The sequence below is a fragment of the Homo sapiens genome, chromosome 2 (genome assembly GCF_000001405.40).
Source record: "Homo sapiens chromosome 2, GRCh38.p14 Primary Assembly".
In the NCBI taxonomy this organism is placed as follows: domain Eukaryota; kingdom Metazoa; phylum Chordata; class Mammalia; order Primates; family Hominidae; genus Homo; species Homo sapiens.
Genome location: NC_000002.12, coordinates 224,814,558 through 224,831,959, shown reverse-complemented (window position 1 = coordinate 224,831,959; position 17,402 = coordinate 224,814,558). Strand labels below are relative to the sequence as shown.

The window sequence follows — 17,402 nt, the reverse complement described above, 5'->3', positions numbered from 1 at the left end:
TAAGAGGAGCTAAGAGAACAAGCCCACCAGGAGCCCCTACCTCCCCTTCTAGACCTGTAAGGAACCCCAAGACCCTCTTGCTCAAGGTCCTATAGGTGGATTTCCAGGCCTGCTTCAATCTCTGTCCCAAGCCCTCCAGGACCTCCAGAGGACAGGTCTTGATGCCTGAGTGCAACCCTAGACCCCATTAAGGAGCTATTTGCGGCAGGGAGGAGGGCCAGGTTGTGGACAGCACTCAGATGTGCAGGCTGGACAGTTTCCAAAAGAGCTCAGGCGTACAAGGCCCTACCTCTGCAAAGCCCTAAGTAGGAACAGGTGTGTACTGCTCTTATCATTGGGCCTGCATTTATTTCATGACAAAATCTGGCATGAGCAGATAATTTTGAGATTGAGTTATTTAGGTGACATAAGTTTTGAAGCTTTGTTTTTTAAAGTATTTAACACATGCGCACCAGGCCCCTCAAGGGGCAGGACGGAGCCTTGGGCGAGAAGAAAAGGGGCAGGCCAGGCCCTGTGCCCCCCAGGACCTCACACCCTGGGGCAGCATTCCAAGGTGTTATGAAGTTTTGTTTCTCGAGGTAGGAGGATCAAACATATTTTATTTAACACATTTTCAGCTTGACTTCCAACTTCTAGATATCTAGACATATGACCTTCCATTTTCACCCTTACCTCTAACCTTTGAAATTTGAGGGGTGAGCTTGGTACAATAAAAAGTTTGTTTAGGTCAGGCTTGGTGGCTCTCAACTGTAATCCCAGGACTTTGGGAGGCTGAGGCGGGAGGATCACCTAAGCCCAGGAGTTCAAGACCAGCCTGGGCACCATGGTAAAACCCTGTCTCTACGAAAAAACACAAAAAGTTAGCTGGGCATGGTGACCACATCTGTAGTCGCAGCTGTCCGGGAGACTGAGGTGGGAGAATCACCTGAGCCGGAGAGTTCAAGACTGCAGTGAGCTGTGATTGCACCACTGCACTCCAGCCTGGCAACAGAGTGAGACTGTCTCAAAAAATAAATAAATAAATAAATAAATAAATAAAAGTTTGTTTAGTTTTGTTTAACTAGGTGAAACAACTAGAACATCCCTTGAATAAATATTTTGTAAAACAACTGCTTAGTCAGTCATGCCAAATAAACTTGTAACTTGTTTTAGTTTAAACATTTTTTGAGAGGATTGAGATAAAAATCATCCCACTATAATAGAGAATATTTTACTGCTCTAATTCATTTAGTTTCAAAGAATACATTTTAACATAACAATGTTATAGTATTACATATTGCAAAGAAAAAATTATCATTATTTTGCCATAGGATAATAAATGTCTCGTTGCCTTTTTTTTCCCAACAGCATTCCTGGTTCTTCTTTGCAATTATCCTAAAATCGATGGCACAGCACTTGATTGACACAAATAAAATCCAGGTAAGAACATAAGTAATATAATATTATAATATTTTTACAATATTATCCAACAATTACACTAATGATTATGCTGTCATGAGTTCCATTTTTATTTGCTTTATAAACCTTAGCAGTTTACAATAATTACTTTATAAGTAGAAGAAATGATTGTGTACACCAACCGGCACAGGCCCTTCAGAAGCAGATGCCAAGACAATATTGGAAGTGCAAAAGATGTATTGGAGGGAAATAACTATAAAGGATAAAAGGAACAGGAAAAAGAAATGGGAAAGTCTGATACCTGTAAATGAAAAGGGGGAAGGAAGGAGGATTGGCTAGGAAGAGTCTCACAGTGACAAGGTTTTAGCTGGGCTGATGGGAAGTCTGAGAGCAAAGAGTTGTCATTAGAGGAACCCTGCACTGGGAAGGCCATCGGCCTCCAGGACCTTTGCAAGCTAAGTCGTTGACTGGGAGCAGCCTGGGGGGAGGGTAGCCTTGGCATGAATGCTGGAGCATATTGCAAGATACAGCAACTCTTTATATTCTTCCCACTAGATTCTGTCTTGAAGGAACATTTGAGCGATGTGCATTCCTGGCTGCCACAGTCCAAGTTTGCATGACATATTGTACAAGTTCATGAATCTGCTTCCCTGCAGTTCCCATGGGCCTCCCCTCCTGAAAGGAAGCTTAGAAGAGGGACCCTGATGGAATTAATTACAGCCCCTTCCATGGCTTTTCAGGAGCCTATGTATTACTCATCATCTCCCATCCCAACTCTCCATTCTAGATCCCTCTCACTCTAACTAGCAGCTCCGAAGGTCTTGGTGACTCACCTGGTGATATGACCCAAACCCTCATTCTAGAGTGGTCTCAGCCTCTGGTCATCATACTCTACTCACACCAGAGTTGGTACCTATGGCCATTCACAGTTACAATGGAGTGAGGAAGACCAAGAAGCAGCCAGGTAGATCACCTGAGTTCCACACACATTTCTCTGAGCCCCCATTGTGGGTAAGGCCAAGGGAAGACCTCTGGCATTGCCCCTGCCCCACGTGGAGGGTAAATCATAACAATGCTGCATGAGGTGGGGTTGGTGGTGTACAGTTATATTATTTTGATTTACTCTTTTGGTGGGGAAGAAGCAGTGTCAGAAGCTCCCACCTGGCCTCCCCCACTAGGATACCTCCACAGACCAAGCACCCGTGCAAGCTTACTCCAAATGCCAGTTTTATTAATACAAATTATACATTTGGGACCAGTTACATGACTATTGGGGGGATCTTTGAACCCAGTGGATCTACTGTTAACAGAACTTTAGTCAGGACTCCACCTTTAATCCCTGTAAGTCCCCACTCTATCAGGGCAGACATGGTGATGCTTTTCATTTCTGGATATCAATGTCAACTCAGATTCTGTGTGCAACAGTCCTTGAACTATATGCCCTTCTTCTCAGTGTACAGTAGCCTGAGTAAATGGCTATAGGGCCCTTTGGAGAAGAATTGATAGACTCATTACAGTATGTATCTACTGCATTGTTGCAGTGGGGGCTTTCCTTTAGGGACCCCATCACCTCTTCAGTCAATGTGTACCAGATCTGAATTGTGACTCAGGTCCAGGAACAGACAAAGGAACCATGACTATTCATTGGAATGAACATCCCCATCTTCCAGTTGCCCATTCTTGCCTTCTTTGTTAATATGATGTACCACCATTGTTGGTTGCTCTCTGTTTTGTCCCTAGGAGTTCCAGTCATCATTAACCAGCTCTACAACTCCCTGAGAGTCGGTCCCTCTTGGCTTCCCCACCAGTCTTGTCATTTGTCATGATACTCACAGCCCCCTGGCTCCTGGAGATTAAGCACAGCACATGGCCTCTGTTGTTTTGGTGATCCCTGATCCCCATGGCTGCTCATGAGCCAAGACTGTGACTGCTCCTCCTGCCAACAGATGGGAAACACCCCTGACCTTCTTAATGATATTGGTCCCCAGCACCTTCTTAGTGGCCATGGTGCATGCTGTCTTCTGGGCCTGCCTGGGGAACTTGATACACTGGTGGATCTTCCAGTCTCAATTAATGTCCATTCCTGTATATCCACCTCCCTCCACCTCTTTATTTTTTCCTCTATCCTCTGCCAGGACAACCAGACATTTCGACTTTGCTTAAAGTAGGCCATCTCTAGATTCTCAGAGCAACCCTAGCAGTGAGTTGCTCATCCCGTGAGTCCTTATTTAATCCCATGTTCTGAAAAAGCACACCCATGTCAATGCATTCTAAGTTACCTGCCCTTACTTTCTGGCCCACATCCTCAATGTACAATTGCAGAGGTTCTGCCCTACCTCCTGGTGGTACATGATAGCTAATTTTTATAGCCTCTTTGGGTATATTCTCTTTCCTGCTTTATTAGGCCCAGCAAGCCCCCAGCTGGGTTAAGCTAGGATTTAACCTCCAGGTATTGCCCTGATCACCAGAAGGAGAGGCGGGACAACTCCTCAAGGGTTTGCCTGATTTCTAGCAGGGAGAGGCCTTTGCAATATCATCTTGCATGGGAGGAGTGCTGACACTTAATAGGGAGGAATTAAACTTCTGCTAGCACTAAGGCTTCAGGGAAGTGTGCAGAGCCACTTCCTCAGAGTCATCCATCCAGAGGTCCTCATCCATGCTTCTAGGCCCCAGGTCTATGTAACCATGGCCTTGATCTTAGTATGACAGAAATGGCTTGCTGGACCTTTAATCATCTGTGGAGTTCCATAACTCTTAACTCGCAAATCCTATTTTTGCTTTTCTGCTATTTCTGCTCTCCACTTCTGGAGATGAGAGCCTCCTACCTGGGAGGGAGAGAAAATCTAACACAAAGGTAAAAATGGTTCGTATCTCTCTGTTGTTAAGCTCTACTGGGGTCAGGAAACCTCACTGTTGCAATTCCTGCTCTGTCACTAACTTGTTAGCTGACGAAAACGACGCTTAACATCTCAGTGCCTGTTTTCTCATCTGTAAGAAGAGTGGATTGGACTAAAATTCTCTTCTAGTTCCTACCAGTATGCATCTGCTTGTATAGACAGGTCACAAAACACACCTGTGAGCAGCCTAAGAATAAATGAACTGATAATAGCCAGCATGATTGTGTCCAGCAGTTTATCTTCCCCGATTGAGGTTTGCTTTCCGTGACCCCTTTCAGTGGTAACCCTCACACCCTAGTTTTCTTTCAGGAGCCCTGCACCTTCCACTCTAACCATCTCTAATCATCACAGTGGGAAAAGACCTGATATCATCTTTTTTCTTTACTTTTTTTTTTTTTTTTTGAGACGGAGTTTCGCTCTGTCGCCCACACTGGAGTGCAGTGGCACGATCTCGGCTCACTGCAAGCTCCACCTCCTGGGTTGAAGTGGTTCTCCTGCCTCAGCCTCCCAAGCAGCTTGGATTACAGGTGCATGCCACCACACCCAGCTAATTTTTGCATTTTTAGTAGAGACGGGGTTTCACCATGTTGGCCAGACTGGTCTCCAACTCCTGACCTTAGGTGATCCACCCACCTCAGCCTCCCAAAGTGCTGGAATTACAGGCATGAGCCACCACGCATGGCCCATTTTTTTTTCCCCTTGATACACGGTCTCACTCCTGTTGCCCAGGCTGGAGTGCAGTGGCACAATCATAGCTCACTGCAGCCTCAACTTCCCCAACTTAGGTGATTCTCTCACCTCAGCATCCCTAGTAGCTGGGACTACAGGCATGGCCACCAAGCCCAGCTAATTTCATATAGATGATTGATAGATGATAGATAGATAGATAGATAGATAGATAGATAGATAGATAGATAGATAGATAATTATATATATTTAGTAAAGATGGGGTTTCGTCATGTTGCCCAGGCTGGTCTCGAACTCTTGGGCTCAAGTGATCTGCCCATCTCAGCCTCCCAAAGTACTGGGATTACAGGCGTGAGCCATTGTACCCAGCCCTGATATTATCATTTGACACCAAAGCATTCACAGTAAACTTTTCCCAAGCTATTTGTATTTTCTTTTTTTTTTCTTTTTAAATTGTGAAGTGAATGGTTTTCTCCACTATTAAAGGAATTTCCATCATCCAAGGAGTAAGTGTGGAAGATCTGAGGAAGTCAGGGGAGATATCTGGTTTAGTCCTCTAAAAGGTGCAATGTTGTTGGGCACTTGGCCAGCGTGAGTTCCAGTTTCCTGGGAATGGCTGGGTGTAGTTGCTCATGCCTGTAATCCCAGCACTTTGGGAGGCTGAGGTGGGCAGATCACCTGAGGTCAGGAGTTCAAGACTAGCCTGGCCAAAATGGCAAAACCCCATCTCTATTAAAAATACAAAAGTTAGCTGGATGTGGTGGCACACACCTGTAATCCCAGCTACTCAGGAGGCTGAGGCACGAGAATTGCTTAAACCCGGGAGGTGGAGTTTGCAGTGAGCTGAGATTGCACCACTGCACTCCAGCCTGGGCCACAGAGACTCTGTCTCAAACAAAACAAAACACAAACAAACTAAAACAATTTCCTGGGAACCACTGAATGTTTTCTCAACATTATTCTCTAGTAGCAAAAGGATCATTGAACCAGCTAAACCTTTTGTTTCCCATCATCCTCCTTGTTTCTAACAAAACTCCCAAAAGCCTACAGTTCTGCCCATGCATCCCAGGCCTGTTCCCCTTGACCTCGCCATGCTGTAGCTCAGATTCATCATGGTCCAGCTCTGCAGCTTGGGAAGTGTGCCACCATCTCACTCCCTTCATCTCCTGAGACAAAAAATTCACAATCTCCAGTGCAGGAATTCTTCCACCTCGAGTCTTTAGGATATACTTCGGGAAAACAGTTTTAAAAGTACTCATATATTTATTAGGCAGACATCTTTGGGTTCAGAGTGAGAGTAGGCCACAGGAGACTTTGAGAGGAAGGTGTAAAGAGGAAGGAACAAATGGAATATTAAAGCCCAAGGCATTCATGCATATGCATGTGGGGAAAATGTACGTATGATATGCTTAAGGAATTTTAGAGGACTAACAAAACGAAAATTGAAAATTAAAAGTGTGCTTTGATTCTTTAAAAGGTGACTGTTGCTTTTTGTAGGTGAATTGTTTACCTTTATTACCCAAGTTTTATGGAAGAGAATTTAAAAATGCTGTGTGTGATCAAATCAGTTAAGTTCATTAGTTGTTAATTTATTTGATTTCAACAATAAATTTTAAATATATAGAGAGTAACCATGAAATTTTCAAAAATATCCATGCAGTGATGTCCTGGTAAAGTGGCTTAAAAATAGAAGCCAGTCTGGCCAGGCGGGGTGGCTCAAGCCTGTAATCCCAGCACTTTGGGAAGCTGAGGCTGGTGGATCATGAGGTCAGGAGTTTAAGACCAGCCTGGCCAAGATGGTGAAACCCCATCTCTACTAAAAAATACAAAAATTAGCCAGGTGTGGTGGCAGGTGCCTGTAATCCCAGCTACTCAGGAGGCTGAAGCAGAGAATTGCTTGAACCCAGGAGGCGGAGGTTGCAGTGATCTGAGATCGTACCACTGCACTCCAGCCTGGACAACAGAGCGAAACTCCATCTCAAAAAAAAAAAAAAAAAAATAGAAGCCAGCCTAAACCAGCTCCAACATCCCGTTAAATTCCATTAAATATCTGTTTCATACAACTCCTGTAACTTCAGCCTTCATGATTTTTATCCTTGCAGCATGGAAGTCTGGGTGCTCACAATTTAGAAATACACAGTTCAGTGTAACTCTAAATTCCATGATTCTATCTATAGTGAAAATGTGTCTGGGTCTAATTTTTAAAGCCAGCTGGTAAAGATGAATGAATCTTATCAGAAGTAAGGCTGGGCACGGGGGCTCACACTTGTAATCCTAGCAGTTTGGGAGGCCAAGGCAAGCAGATCACTTGAGGTCAGGAGTTCAAGACCAACCTGGCCAACATGACGAAACCCTGTCACTACTAAAAATTAGCTGGGTATGGACTACAGGAGGGCGCCTGTAGTCCTAGCCACTTGGGAGGCTGAGGTGGGACAATTACTTAAACTGAGGAGGTAGAGGTTGCAGTGAGCTGAGATCACACCATTGCACTCCAATCTGGGTGACACAGAAAGACCCTGTCTCCAAAAAAAAAAAAAAAAAAAAAAAAGCAGAGTCTGAGATGGAAGAACTCGGCTGCCTCAAATGTTCCCCTCATATGCAGGAGTCCAAACAGGAGGGATGGATATCTGGACCTGAAATGGTCTTTTGAGATCCATAGAGCTTTATTCAGTGGATGTAATGTCATCTCACAGCCAAGCCCTTCTTTATCTTGACTTGTGAGGTCCCACTGGTGTCTCTTAACTGTGGCATATACTGGGACCAGGGAGTTAAAACTAGCTGGGACTCACCAAATGTCAGAGGACATTTCAAACCAATATCTGTATTCATTCAGTTATTCATTTATTAATTTCTTAGACTAGTTTATTGGGGGCATTCCTAGTTGTAAAAAAATCAAAATAATTTATTTTTAAATGAAATAGAGAACTACATGTCCAAAATATCTAGAATAATGTTCATTAACCATTAATAGTAGCTATTCCCTGAGAGGGAAGGAGGGAAAGTAAGATATGAGAGGCCACAGAGAAGGTTCACATTTTACTTTGTACATTGCTACATTGTTTCAATAGTTTGCAATTAATATTTGTTATGATTGACTTTTATTATAAAGTGAAAATTTTATTGACCAAAATTGAAGGAAACACTAAATATTAATGATGGAAATCATGACCTTGAAAGTAAAAGGCTTCTATTTTATTACTGCTTTCAAGTTTTCAAAAGGATTCTTTTTCTTTAATGACCTATAAAATAAAGTAAATATTTCAGTTGATACTTCCTCGGCTTAATATTTCACATGCCACATTAGAAAGATATAATCCGTTCTTTCCTTAGCTTCCCCGGCCTCAGAGATTTCCTGAATCTTACCAAAATGAATTGGACAATCTTGTCATGGTCCTATCCGACCATGTGATTTGGAAATACAAGGATGCACTTGAAGAAACAAGAAGGGCAAACCACAGCGTTGCCAGATTTCTCAAGGTACAGTTATATGAGATCGCAGTTCTATTCAAGGCCCCATGTTGGTGGATGCAAGATAGTCTAAACTTTCATCAGTTCACATCTTCATGTATGATGAAAAATCAAAACTAGCACTGTCAGATGAAAACTTTCATTTATACATCTTTATTGCTTGAAATACTTTTTAATTTTTTTTTTCAATTTGAAGTCTTATTGAATAAAGACTAAGGTTAGAAGGCCGGGCGCGATGGCTTATGCTTGTAATCCCAGCACTTTGGGAGGCCAAGGCGGGCAGATCATGAGGTCAAGAGATAGAGACCATCCTGGCCAACATGGTGAAACCCCGTGTCTACTAAAAATACAAAAATTAGCTGGGCGTGGTGGTGCGTGCCTGTAGTCCTAGCTATTTGGGAGGCTGAGGCAGGAGAATCACTTGAACCTGGGAGGCGGAGGTTGCAGTGAGCCGAGATCACACCACTGCACTCTAGCCTGGTGACAGAGAGAGACTGTCTCAAAAAAAAAAAAGACAGGAAGAAAGAAAAAAAAAACTAAGGTTAGAGAAAAGTATCCATTTGAGTGCAGTCAAATCATAGTATTTCTAAATATATTTTAAGAGAAAAAATGAAATTTTTAAAAAGGAAGCTGCACTACAGTAATATTATTCTCTTGGACATTTCTGCCTTTGAAAGTGATGTTATAATGGCTTTAGCTCTGACAGTGATACCAAATAGCCACTTTGGGAAACGCTTCAGGAATTTAGCATTTTTGTTTATTATCTCCAGGCTCTTTTTTTTCTTTATTTCTTTTTGAGACAGGATCTCACTCTGTCAACCCAAGCTGGAGCACACTGGCATGATCACAACTCACTGTAGCCTCAACCTCCCTGGGCTCAGGCGATCCTCCCACCTCAGCCTCCTGAGTAGGACACAGACACAAACCTGGCTAATTTTTGTATTTTTTGTAGAGACGGGGTTTTGCCACGTAGCCCAGGCTGGTTTCAAACTCCTGAGCTCAAGAGATTGGCCTCCCTAAGTGCTGGGATGACAGGTGTGAGCCACCAAGGTTGACCCACGCTGTTTTTTACATTATGGAAAGATCACACTGATCCCATGAAAGAAAAATTATCAAGTAAAGTATTGAGTAGCTACTTACTAAACTGGATATGTATGGAAATTAGTTATATTTCATTGGGTTACAACCATTTATATTGAGCTGAGAGGAAAGAAATGCAAAGTCGAAGAAAAAACTAAGATACATAATTACAGTATACCATTTAACAGATAATGCAAGCAATTAGAAAGATAATAGTTTTCTGTGCCTCCTTCTTTAGTCTAACTCTTGACTACTATAACCTTTATGAAGTCATTTGACTTGTTTCTTAATGGTAGTCACCAGAACATATGGGTGAGTGTGAGAATGTATAAATAAATGCTAATAATATACAGTTAAAAGCCTATAGAAGTGGAAAATGGGCCCAACTTGTCACTGGTGAGCTTTAATCCAGCCTAATTTCTTTTTTTTAATGTGTTAAAAACTATTTCAAATTATACACTGTATGTGTTCTTATCCTGAATTTATTTTTTTCTTCAAGGTTTTGTCTCTGATTTTTACTTTTTTCTTGCTTCCAGAAAGAGACAAGAATGATAAGTGTTAAAGGGGAAAAGTTTAAAGGGGGGAAAAGTTACTGTAGTTTTCTACCACATTTTAAGACCTATGGGAATAAAGTTTATTGCTATGCTAATAGTTTACTAGGAAACTTAGAAAGAATTATGTATAGTTCAGTTTGCAAATAAAATATATTGAAAGAAACATCTGAAATATTCTTCCCTAAACTGCAAAAAATGACGAATAAGCAAGTCTCTAAAAAAGGGAAAAGACCTCATAGTTACCCTCCTTATTACTAATTTGAAGTTTTAATGGCATTTATTTGACACATAATATTAAAAAAAATTGGAACACTTATTAGATGAATCATTTGAGCTAGGAGAGAAAAAAAAGAAAGGAAAAGAAAGTGATTTTTGAAAATGTAAAACTGAACGTAGTCATTTGGTGCAATTCCAATAAATTTGAGTTTTCAGATGCTCAACACAGCCCACTCCTAGTGCTGATGTCATAAATCTCTTATATTTCCAGCAAACAATAGTTATTTGCTCAATTGGGGCTTCAAATGACTGCTACCTCTTTTTGTTATTGAAGTCTACATTAGCAAATACTGTGAATTAGTCAACATTGGAATTTAACAATTAAAATATTATTGTAACTCCATGGGTTGCTCAAAATTGGTCTCCAAGAATCAAGAAGAACCTCTGGGAACCAGTGTGTGGGCATATAAAAATGTTCTACATTAAAAGGTAGCCTCCCTTACCCCACATTATGGGAAAGTAATATTTTTTCAGCAATTATGCCAAAAAGCTTGTACATTTCTCAACTATTCTCTCAGTGAAGTAAATAGGATTCAAATGATTGCAGCTTTTGTCATTTTTCTTTTTGCCACCCACCTGGGTCACAGCTCTACTTATCTGAACATACCTATTTAGACACTCTTTTTATGAAGCACAATACCAAGATGGTAGCAAAGGCTGATTCATTCTGATTTTTATTTTGCTGATTGGATAGCCGTATCTTTTAGCCCATTCGCCTGACTAACCACTGCTTTGTTTCAATGAGCTGTTGAAAACCATTTGGAAATCACCTAATATTAGAGAGAGACTTGGTTTAAACATCTGTGGTATTTCTCTCTAAATATCAGATAAGGATGGATAAGCAAGTCTCTAAAAAGTGAAAACCCTTCATATCTACTCTACTTGGCTTAAATAGCTTGTGCTTTTGGAATAAATGAATGTTTTCCATAGAGCTCTTGGTCCACTCTCCATAGCAAGATTTTATGTGTAGTCCTGTCTGTGAGTAAAATTGAGGAGAGACTCCAAGAAATGCAAAACCATTTTAATGGATCATCCTGGACACTTTCGACAAGAAAGAAGCACTCCACACCAGCTGTGGAATTTTCCCAAGCAGCATGTTTACTCACACCCACGTGGGTGAATAGAATGAGACTCACACACCAAGTAATGAGCTGCAGATCCACTATGGGAGGCACCTGCTCTAGTGCCTCCCCAGATCCTGCGTTGGGAACTATGGTCCCTTCCTCCTGCTCCACACTTTGCCTGTGCAGTCTTTGGCCGTGGTAGCTTGGTTACTGGTTACATGACCATCCGTCTTTTGGAGAGAGAGCAAGTGCTCCTCCAAGCCTACTTACTGTTTAAGACTCTCCTTGATACAGTAAAGAGAATTTGACCACAGAATAAGAAAGGTAGTAAGCAGCTCGCTGATAGAAATCTTACGATCTCCTTCCTTCAGCCTTCAAATGCAAGCTTCCTCAGCTGATAAGGAGAGGAGCTACTCTGTCAAAAGGGGCCAGTGAGATTTAAAAGGCTTTCCTGACTCGTCTCTACCACTCCTCATTATGACCCAGTGTGTACAGGAGAAGATTTACAACCCCATAAGTGTGAAATGGAATTATTAAAAGAAAATAATAAAATGTAACTAAGTGGTTAAAAAAGTAGACAACCGAAAGCTAAAGCTTTCTGTATAAAAAAGAAGGGGCTATAATATTTCATTGCAAAGCTCCAGTGACATTTTATAAAATCAATATAGATTTATAACTTTCTGATTGATATTTTTGTTTTATTCATTTATGCTTTCATTCTGTTTTTCCTTTCAATTTTTCTTGTTTTCTTCTGAATTTTTAAATGTACCTATTCTCTGTTAGTATATTGCCCTGTTTCATTTTCATTTTTAATATAAATTGTAGTTATTTTAGTTGCCATATGTGGATGACTGCTTAAACATCTTTAGAAGATTTTTTAAATACCTAATTATACAACACATTTAGTTTAGTGTTATTTTACTTCAATATATTTAATCATATTTTCTAAAATCTTTAATGATTCTTCAAGTAAAAGTGTTTAAATTTAGAATTTTATCTATTTTAGCGCTGCTTTACATTTATGGACCGAGGGTATGTGTTTAAGATGGTCAACAATTACATCAGCATGTTCTCCTCCGGTGACCTTAAGGTAAGAACCACGTACAGGAGTGATTGTTTTCTAAACTATGGCATTGTAAATAAATAAAGTAGTCTCTGTGGATACCTGCTTAAGTCCATTCTCTGTATCAGAAAGTGATTTCTATGCCAAGGAGAGGCAGCCTTTTAATGTTTCATCTGCTGAGTGTGCCTACCAAGTCCTTCCTTAATGGGGACAAAGGAGAGTGGAATGAAAGTGTTTACATTTCATTTCTATTTCCTGTGGGTGGTGAAGAGAATGGCTCTTTGCAGCTACAATTCCTACAGTCCAGTTTGCCCTAGACTGGCTTGGTTTCAGCACTGAAAGTCCTACTTCCCTGGAAACCTTTAAGTCCTGGGCAAAATGGGACAGTTGAATACCCTACCCAAATAGGGGTATACGCTGGGGAGATGTAAAGAGAACTCTAGAGCAGTGGTTCCTAGACCAGAGAGGTAGCATCACTTGGGAACTGAACTGCTGCTAATGGAGCCCAGAAATTTGTTTTAACAGGACCTCTAGGTGATTGTTTTGCACTCTCAGGTTTGAGAACCACTGAGCTATGGTTATGGCATATGCTGGAGGGAACTAAGACTGGAAATGGGCCAGATGATGAAAGCTGGATCAGTTAACTGTTCTTTGGGTTGAAAGCAACAGAAACTGACTCCAATTTGAGCAAAAGGGAATTGATTGGAAAGATAATTGGGAGTAAATAGCATTGATGAAGCAGCTGCAGAAGCAGGCTTTGAAAAGAGCAGGGGCTGGCAGGGCGCGGTGGCTCACGCCTGTAATCCCAGCACTTTGGGAGGCCGAGGTGGGCGGATCACGAGGTCAGGAAATCGAGACCATCCTGGCTAACACGGTGAAACCCTGTCTCTACTAAAAATACAAAAAAATTAGCCGGGCGTGGTTGCGGGCACCTGTAGCTCCAGCTACTCAGGATGCTGAGGCAGGAGAATGGGGTGAACCCGGGAGTCGAGCTTGCAGTGAGCCGAGATCGCGCCACTGCATTCCAACCTGGGCGACGGAGCAAGACTCCGTCTCAAAAAAAAAAAAAAAAAAGGCAGGGGCCAGGCCTTTTCAAGCACAAGGAATACAGTCATGCGTCACTTAACGACAGAGACACATACTGAGAAAAGCATTGTTAGGCAATTTCGTCACTGTGTGACTATCATAGAGTGTACTTACACAAACCCAGCTAGTATATATCCTACTCCATTACATAGCTCTGTTCTCATTGTATGGAACCACCATTGTATATATGGTCTGTCTTTCACCAAAACGTTACGTGGGGCCTGACAGTAATTGCAAATGAAGAACCATTTGGCCGAGGTGCTGCTGCATCTGCTTAAATGAATCAACTGAAGCCATTTTCTCCCCCCAACACTGCTTCAGATTCACCTTCCATAGAGGAAGTGTGTGAGCAACCTGCTTTGGGTCACATGCTTGCCTCTTAAGGAGAGAAGACAGGGCATATGAATTAATAATTCTCTGTTAACCTTTACCCACTGTGAAGGAGGCCAGTCCTCAAGGGGAAATTATCTAGGTATTTGAAAAGAACAATGGATTTAGACCAGCCAAAAATAAATCATGAGATTCTTACAGCCTTTCACGTCATGCTTAGTTGCTTAAACATTATTTTTGGGAGATGGGGTGCAGTGGAGATTTTGACCAGAGGAGTTACATGATTTTATGTCATCTGGTTTTGAAAATCCAATTCTCTCTCTCAATTTTTTTTGAAAGTATATTCTTCATTTGTGCTCCTGTCATGCATGAAATTTGCAGAATATCCATTTAATTGCAGCAGACCTAAATTATGTATTTTCAAAGACCAAACAGAATGTTCTCAATGTAAAATAGTTAACATATAATTTAATAATGCTCCTGTTCACTTTGATGTACAAAGGTTTAAGTCAAATATTATCCTTTTTGAAATGGCAGTATTTTAAATTATTAACTAAAGTTGCCACAAGATATAATTCTAAAATATCTGAGTAAATGGGATATATTTTATTTTGTGAGCTGAGATTAGTGAATATAATGATGATCATCGAACTTAGTCTTAAAACATGGTTACTTAGCATGCATGAGAGTAAAAATAGAGCAGTCAGGAACATGCTTATTTTTCCTACTGATGTGGCTGTTCTTGACTCCTGTGTTACTTTGACCGTGCCTGGACTCCATTTCTCTCCATCTAACTCAAACATTATTGCAAAGACAGACCTATTTGCAAGGGCAGGGAGGAAAGACGAATTAATTAATGTACTATGAGAACATGTGGCATACAGGGTTTCACTCTAATTTTACGTGATACACACCATTGTCTTCCTTAGCTCTGGATGGTAGGAGCTCATTGTAGAAGTCTGTTTCATTATCTGAGTGTAGTTTTTGAGAGAATTCTGTGCATGTGTTACAGCAGGAATTTTTTTCAGAATAAATGTGTCATGATTCATGCTAAAAGAAGCTAAAAAATATGACTCAGTAGGATCTTATCTCATAGAAGCTACATGTAGGTTACAAATGGGATTATTTCCTGAAGAGGCCTTGACCAGTCTCCAAAAGTAGGGAGCTTAACTGCAGTTCGGAGGGGACAAAATCCTTTCAACTTAATTACCTAGTGGTCCGACAAGTGTATGGTAACTACTTTTTCTTTTTAGGGATAAGATTCAAGTGCAGATTTTGTTTGTTTGTTTTTATTCAGTTTCTTGGTCTGTAAGTCATAGTCATTTAGTTTGCCTCTCTTTCAGACCTTGTGCCAGTATAAATTTGATTTTCTTCAAGAAGTATGTCAACATGAACACTTTATCCCTTTGTGTCTGCCCATAAGATCAGCAAACATTCCAGGTAATAAAATTCCCAGAATTTTCCTCAGTTCCTGCAAAGTGAATGCTTTTGTTTGTTCGTTTTACCTTTTGTTTATTATTATTTTCCTGTTTCTTCAGTCATAATTTTGTTTGAAGCTGTCACATGGGTATCAGACCCAGGTAATCAGAATTAAATTAAAATGCAAAAGAAGTTGTTGGCATGTGGTGATGAATATGGCTTCATATTCCTCAATTTTTGTCTGTTTCCCTTTTTATTAAAGAGAAGGCCAACAAAATTATAAACCCGATGATTGTTAATCAAATAATTTGAACCTAGAGGCACTTTACGGGCTCCAAAAGACAGCTTTCCTTTCATTTTGAGACATAAAATTATAGGGAGGAAAAGTACTATATATATAATTTATAAATATTATATATATAAATATATATGTATTATGGTAGAGAGTATTACCCATGTAGACATCAAAAACTAATCAAATATCAAGATGCAAATAAAATAATAAAATTATTTAGGAGCATGAAATACTTTATTACCAACCAATGAGTAAACTATTTATGAGGTACAGTTTTTTTCTTGCGGGGGAGGGGGTTGTTTTGTTTTTGAGGTAGAGTCTCACTCTGTCACCCAGGCTGGGAGTACAGTGGCATGATCTTGGCTCGCTGCAACCTCTGCCTCCCAGGTTTGAGGGATTCTCCCACCTCAGCCTGAGTAGCTGGGACTACAGGTGTGTGCCACCACACCTGGCTAATTTTGGTATTTTTAGTAGAGAAGAGGTTTCACCATGTTGGCCAGGCTGGTCTCCAACTCCTGACCTCAGGTGATCCGCCTACGTCGGCCTCTGAAAGTGCTGGGATTACAGGTGTGAGCCGCCACACCCAGCTGAGAGGCATATTTGCTTTGATATTCATGAACACAAACACTAAGATTGGTAAAGAGCCTCATTATACTTCCTTAACCTATTAGCTTACACTAGTATTCTGGAGGGAAAATTACATTATCAAGCCTATAAAAGTTTTGCCATTTTAATCTTAAATATAATCTATATAATATTATTCCAATTTTTTCTAATTTATGAAGCATATTTCATAGAAAATAGGGTAGAAATGGCATATTAGATAATAACACTTTAAGGTGTTTACGTTGTTCTGAATGTATTTTTGTTTTATAAATTACTGCCAAGTTATTATTGGTTAGCCAGGCTGATTGAGATATTCAAGAGGACCAAATCTTTATTTGGTCATTTTTATTTCAGTTGCTTACTGTCTTAGTCCATTGTCACACTGCTATAAAGAACTACCTAAGACTAGGTAATTTATGAAAAAAAGAGGTTGAATTGACTCACAGTGCCATATGGCTGGGGAGCCCTCAGGAAACTTACAATCAAGGCAGAAGGTGAAGGGGAAGTAAGGACCTTCTTCACATGGCGGCAGGAGAGAGAAAGGGAGAGAGCAGGAAGTGCCACACTTTAAAACCATCGGCTCTCAAGAGAACTCACTTACTGTCATGAGAACAGCACGGGGGAAACTGTCCCCATGATCAAATCACCTCCCACCAGGTACCTCCCCTAACGTGTGTGGATTACAATTCAAGATGAAATTTGGGTGGGGACACAGAGTCAAACTATATTACTTACTATTAGTCAGTAGCTCAGAGAAAAGCCTGACAGTCTCTTTGTAGATCTGATACTATAAATAATGAACATAAAAATATGTTTCATAGCAGGCAAAATTCTGATAGAAAAATAGATGCTCAAGTAGAAAGCTAACAATTAGAATAATTCTGCTCATGACCCTCTTTTTTAAGAAAACAAATAGGCTGAGGGTGGTGGCTCATGCCTGTAATCCCAGCACTTTGGGAGGTCAAGGCAGGCAGATCACCTGAGGTCAGGAGTTTGAGACCAGCCTAGCCAACATGGCAAAACCCCATCTCTACTAAAAATACAAAAATCAGCCAGGTGCAGTGGCGGGCACCTGTAATCCCAGCTACTTGGGAGACTGAGGCAGGAAAATCGCTTGAATCCAGGAGGCAGAGGTTGCAGTCAGCCAAGATTGTGCTACTGCACTCCAGCCTGAGCGAC

General features: G+C 40.9%; 1 protein-coding gene across 24 annotated transcripts in view; it reads left to right on the top strand.

Annotated features, from left to right (window-relative positions):
- Window positions 1-17,402, top strand: part of DOCK10 (dedicator of cytokinesis 10) — a 277,379-nt gene that overhangs the window by 210,509 nt on the left and 49,468 nt on the right. For 18 of the 24 annotated variants that reach the window (XM_047444922.1, XM_047444921.1, NM_014689.3 and 15 more), the window contains 4 exons: window positions 1,348-1,419; window positions 8,313-8,459; window positions 12,431-12,514; window positions 15,247-15,343. In XM_047444922.1, coding sequence (XP_047300878.1) covers window positions 1,348-1,419; window positions 8,313-8,459; window positions 12,431-12,514; window positions 15,247-15,343 — 400 coding nt within the window. The remainder of the gene's footprint in view (window positions 1-1,347; window positions 1,420-8,312; window positions 8,460-12,430; window positions 12,515-15,246; window positions 15,344-17,402) is intronic. The other 6 variants (XM_047444930.1, XM_047444929.1, XM_047444928.1 and 3 more) reach the window with 1 other exon arrangement.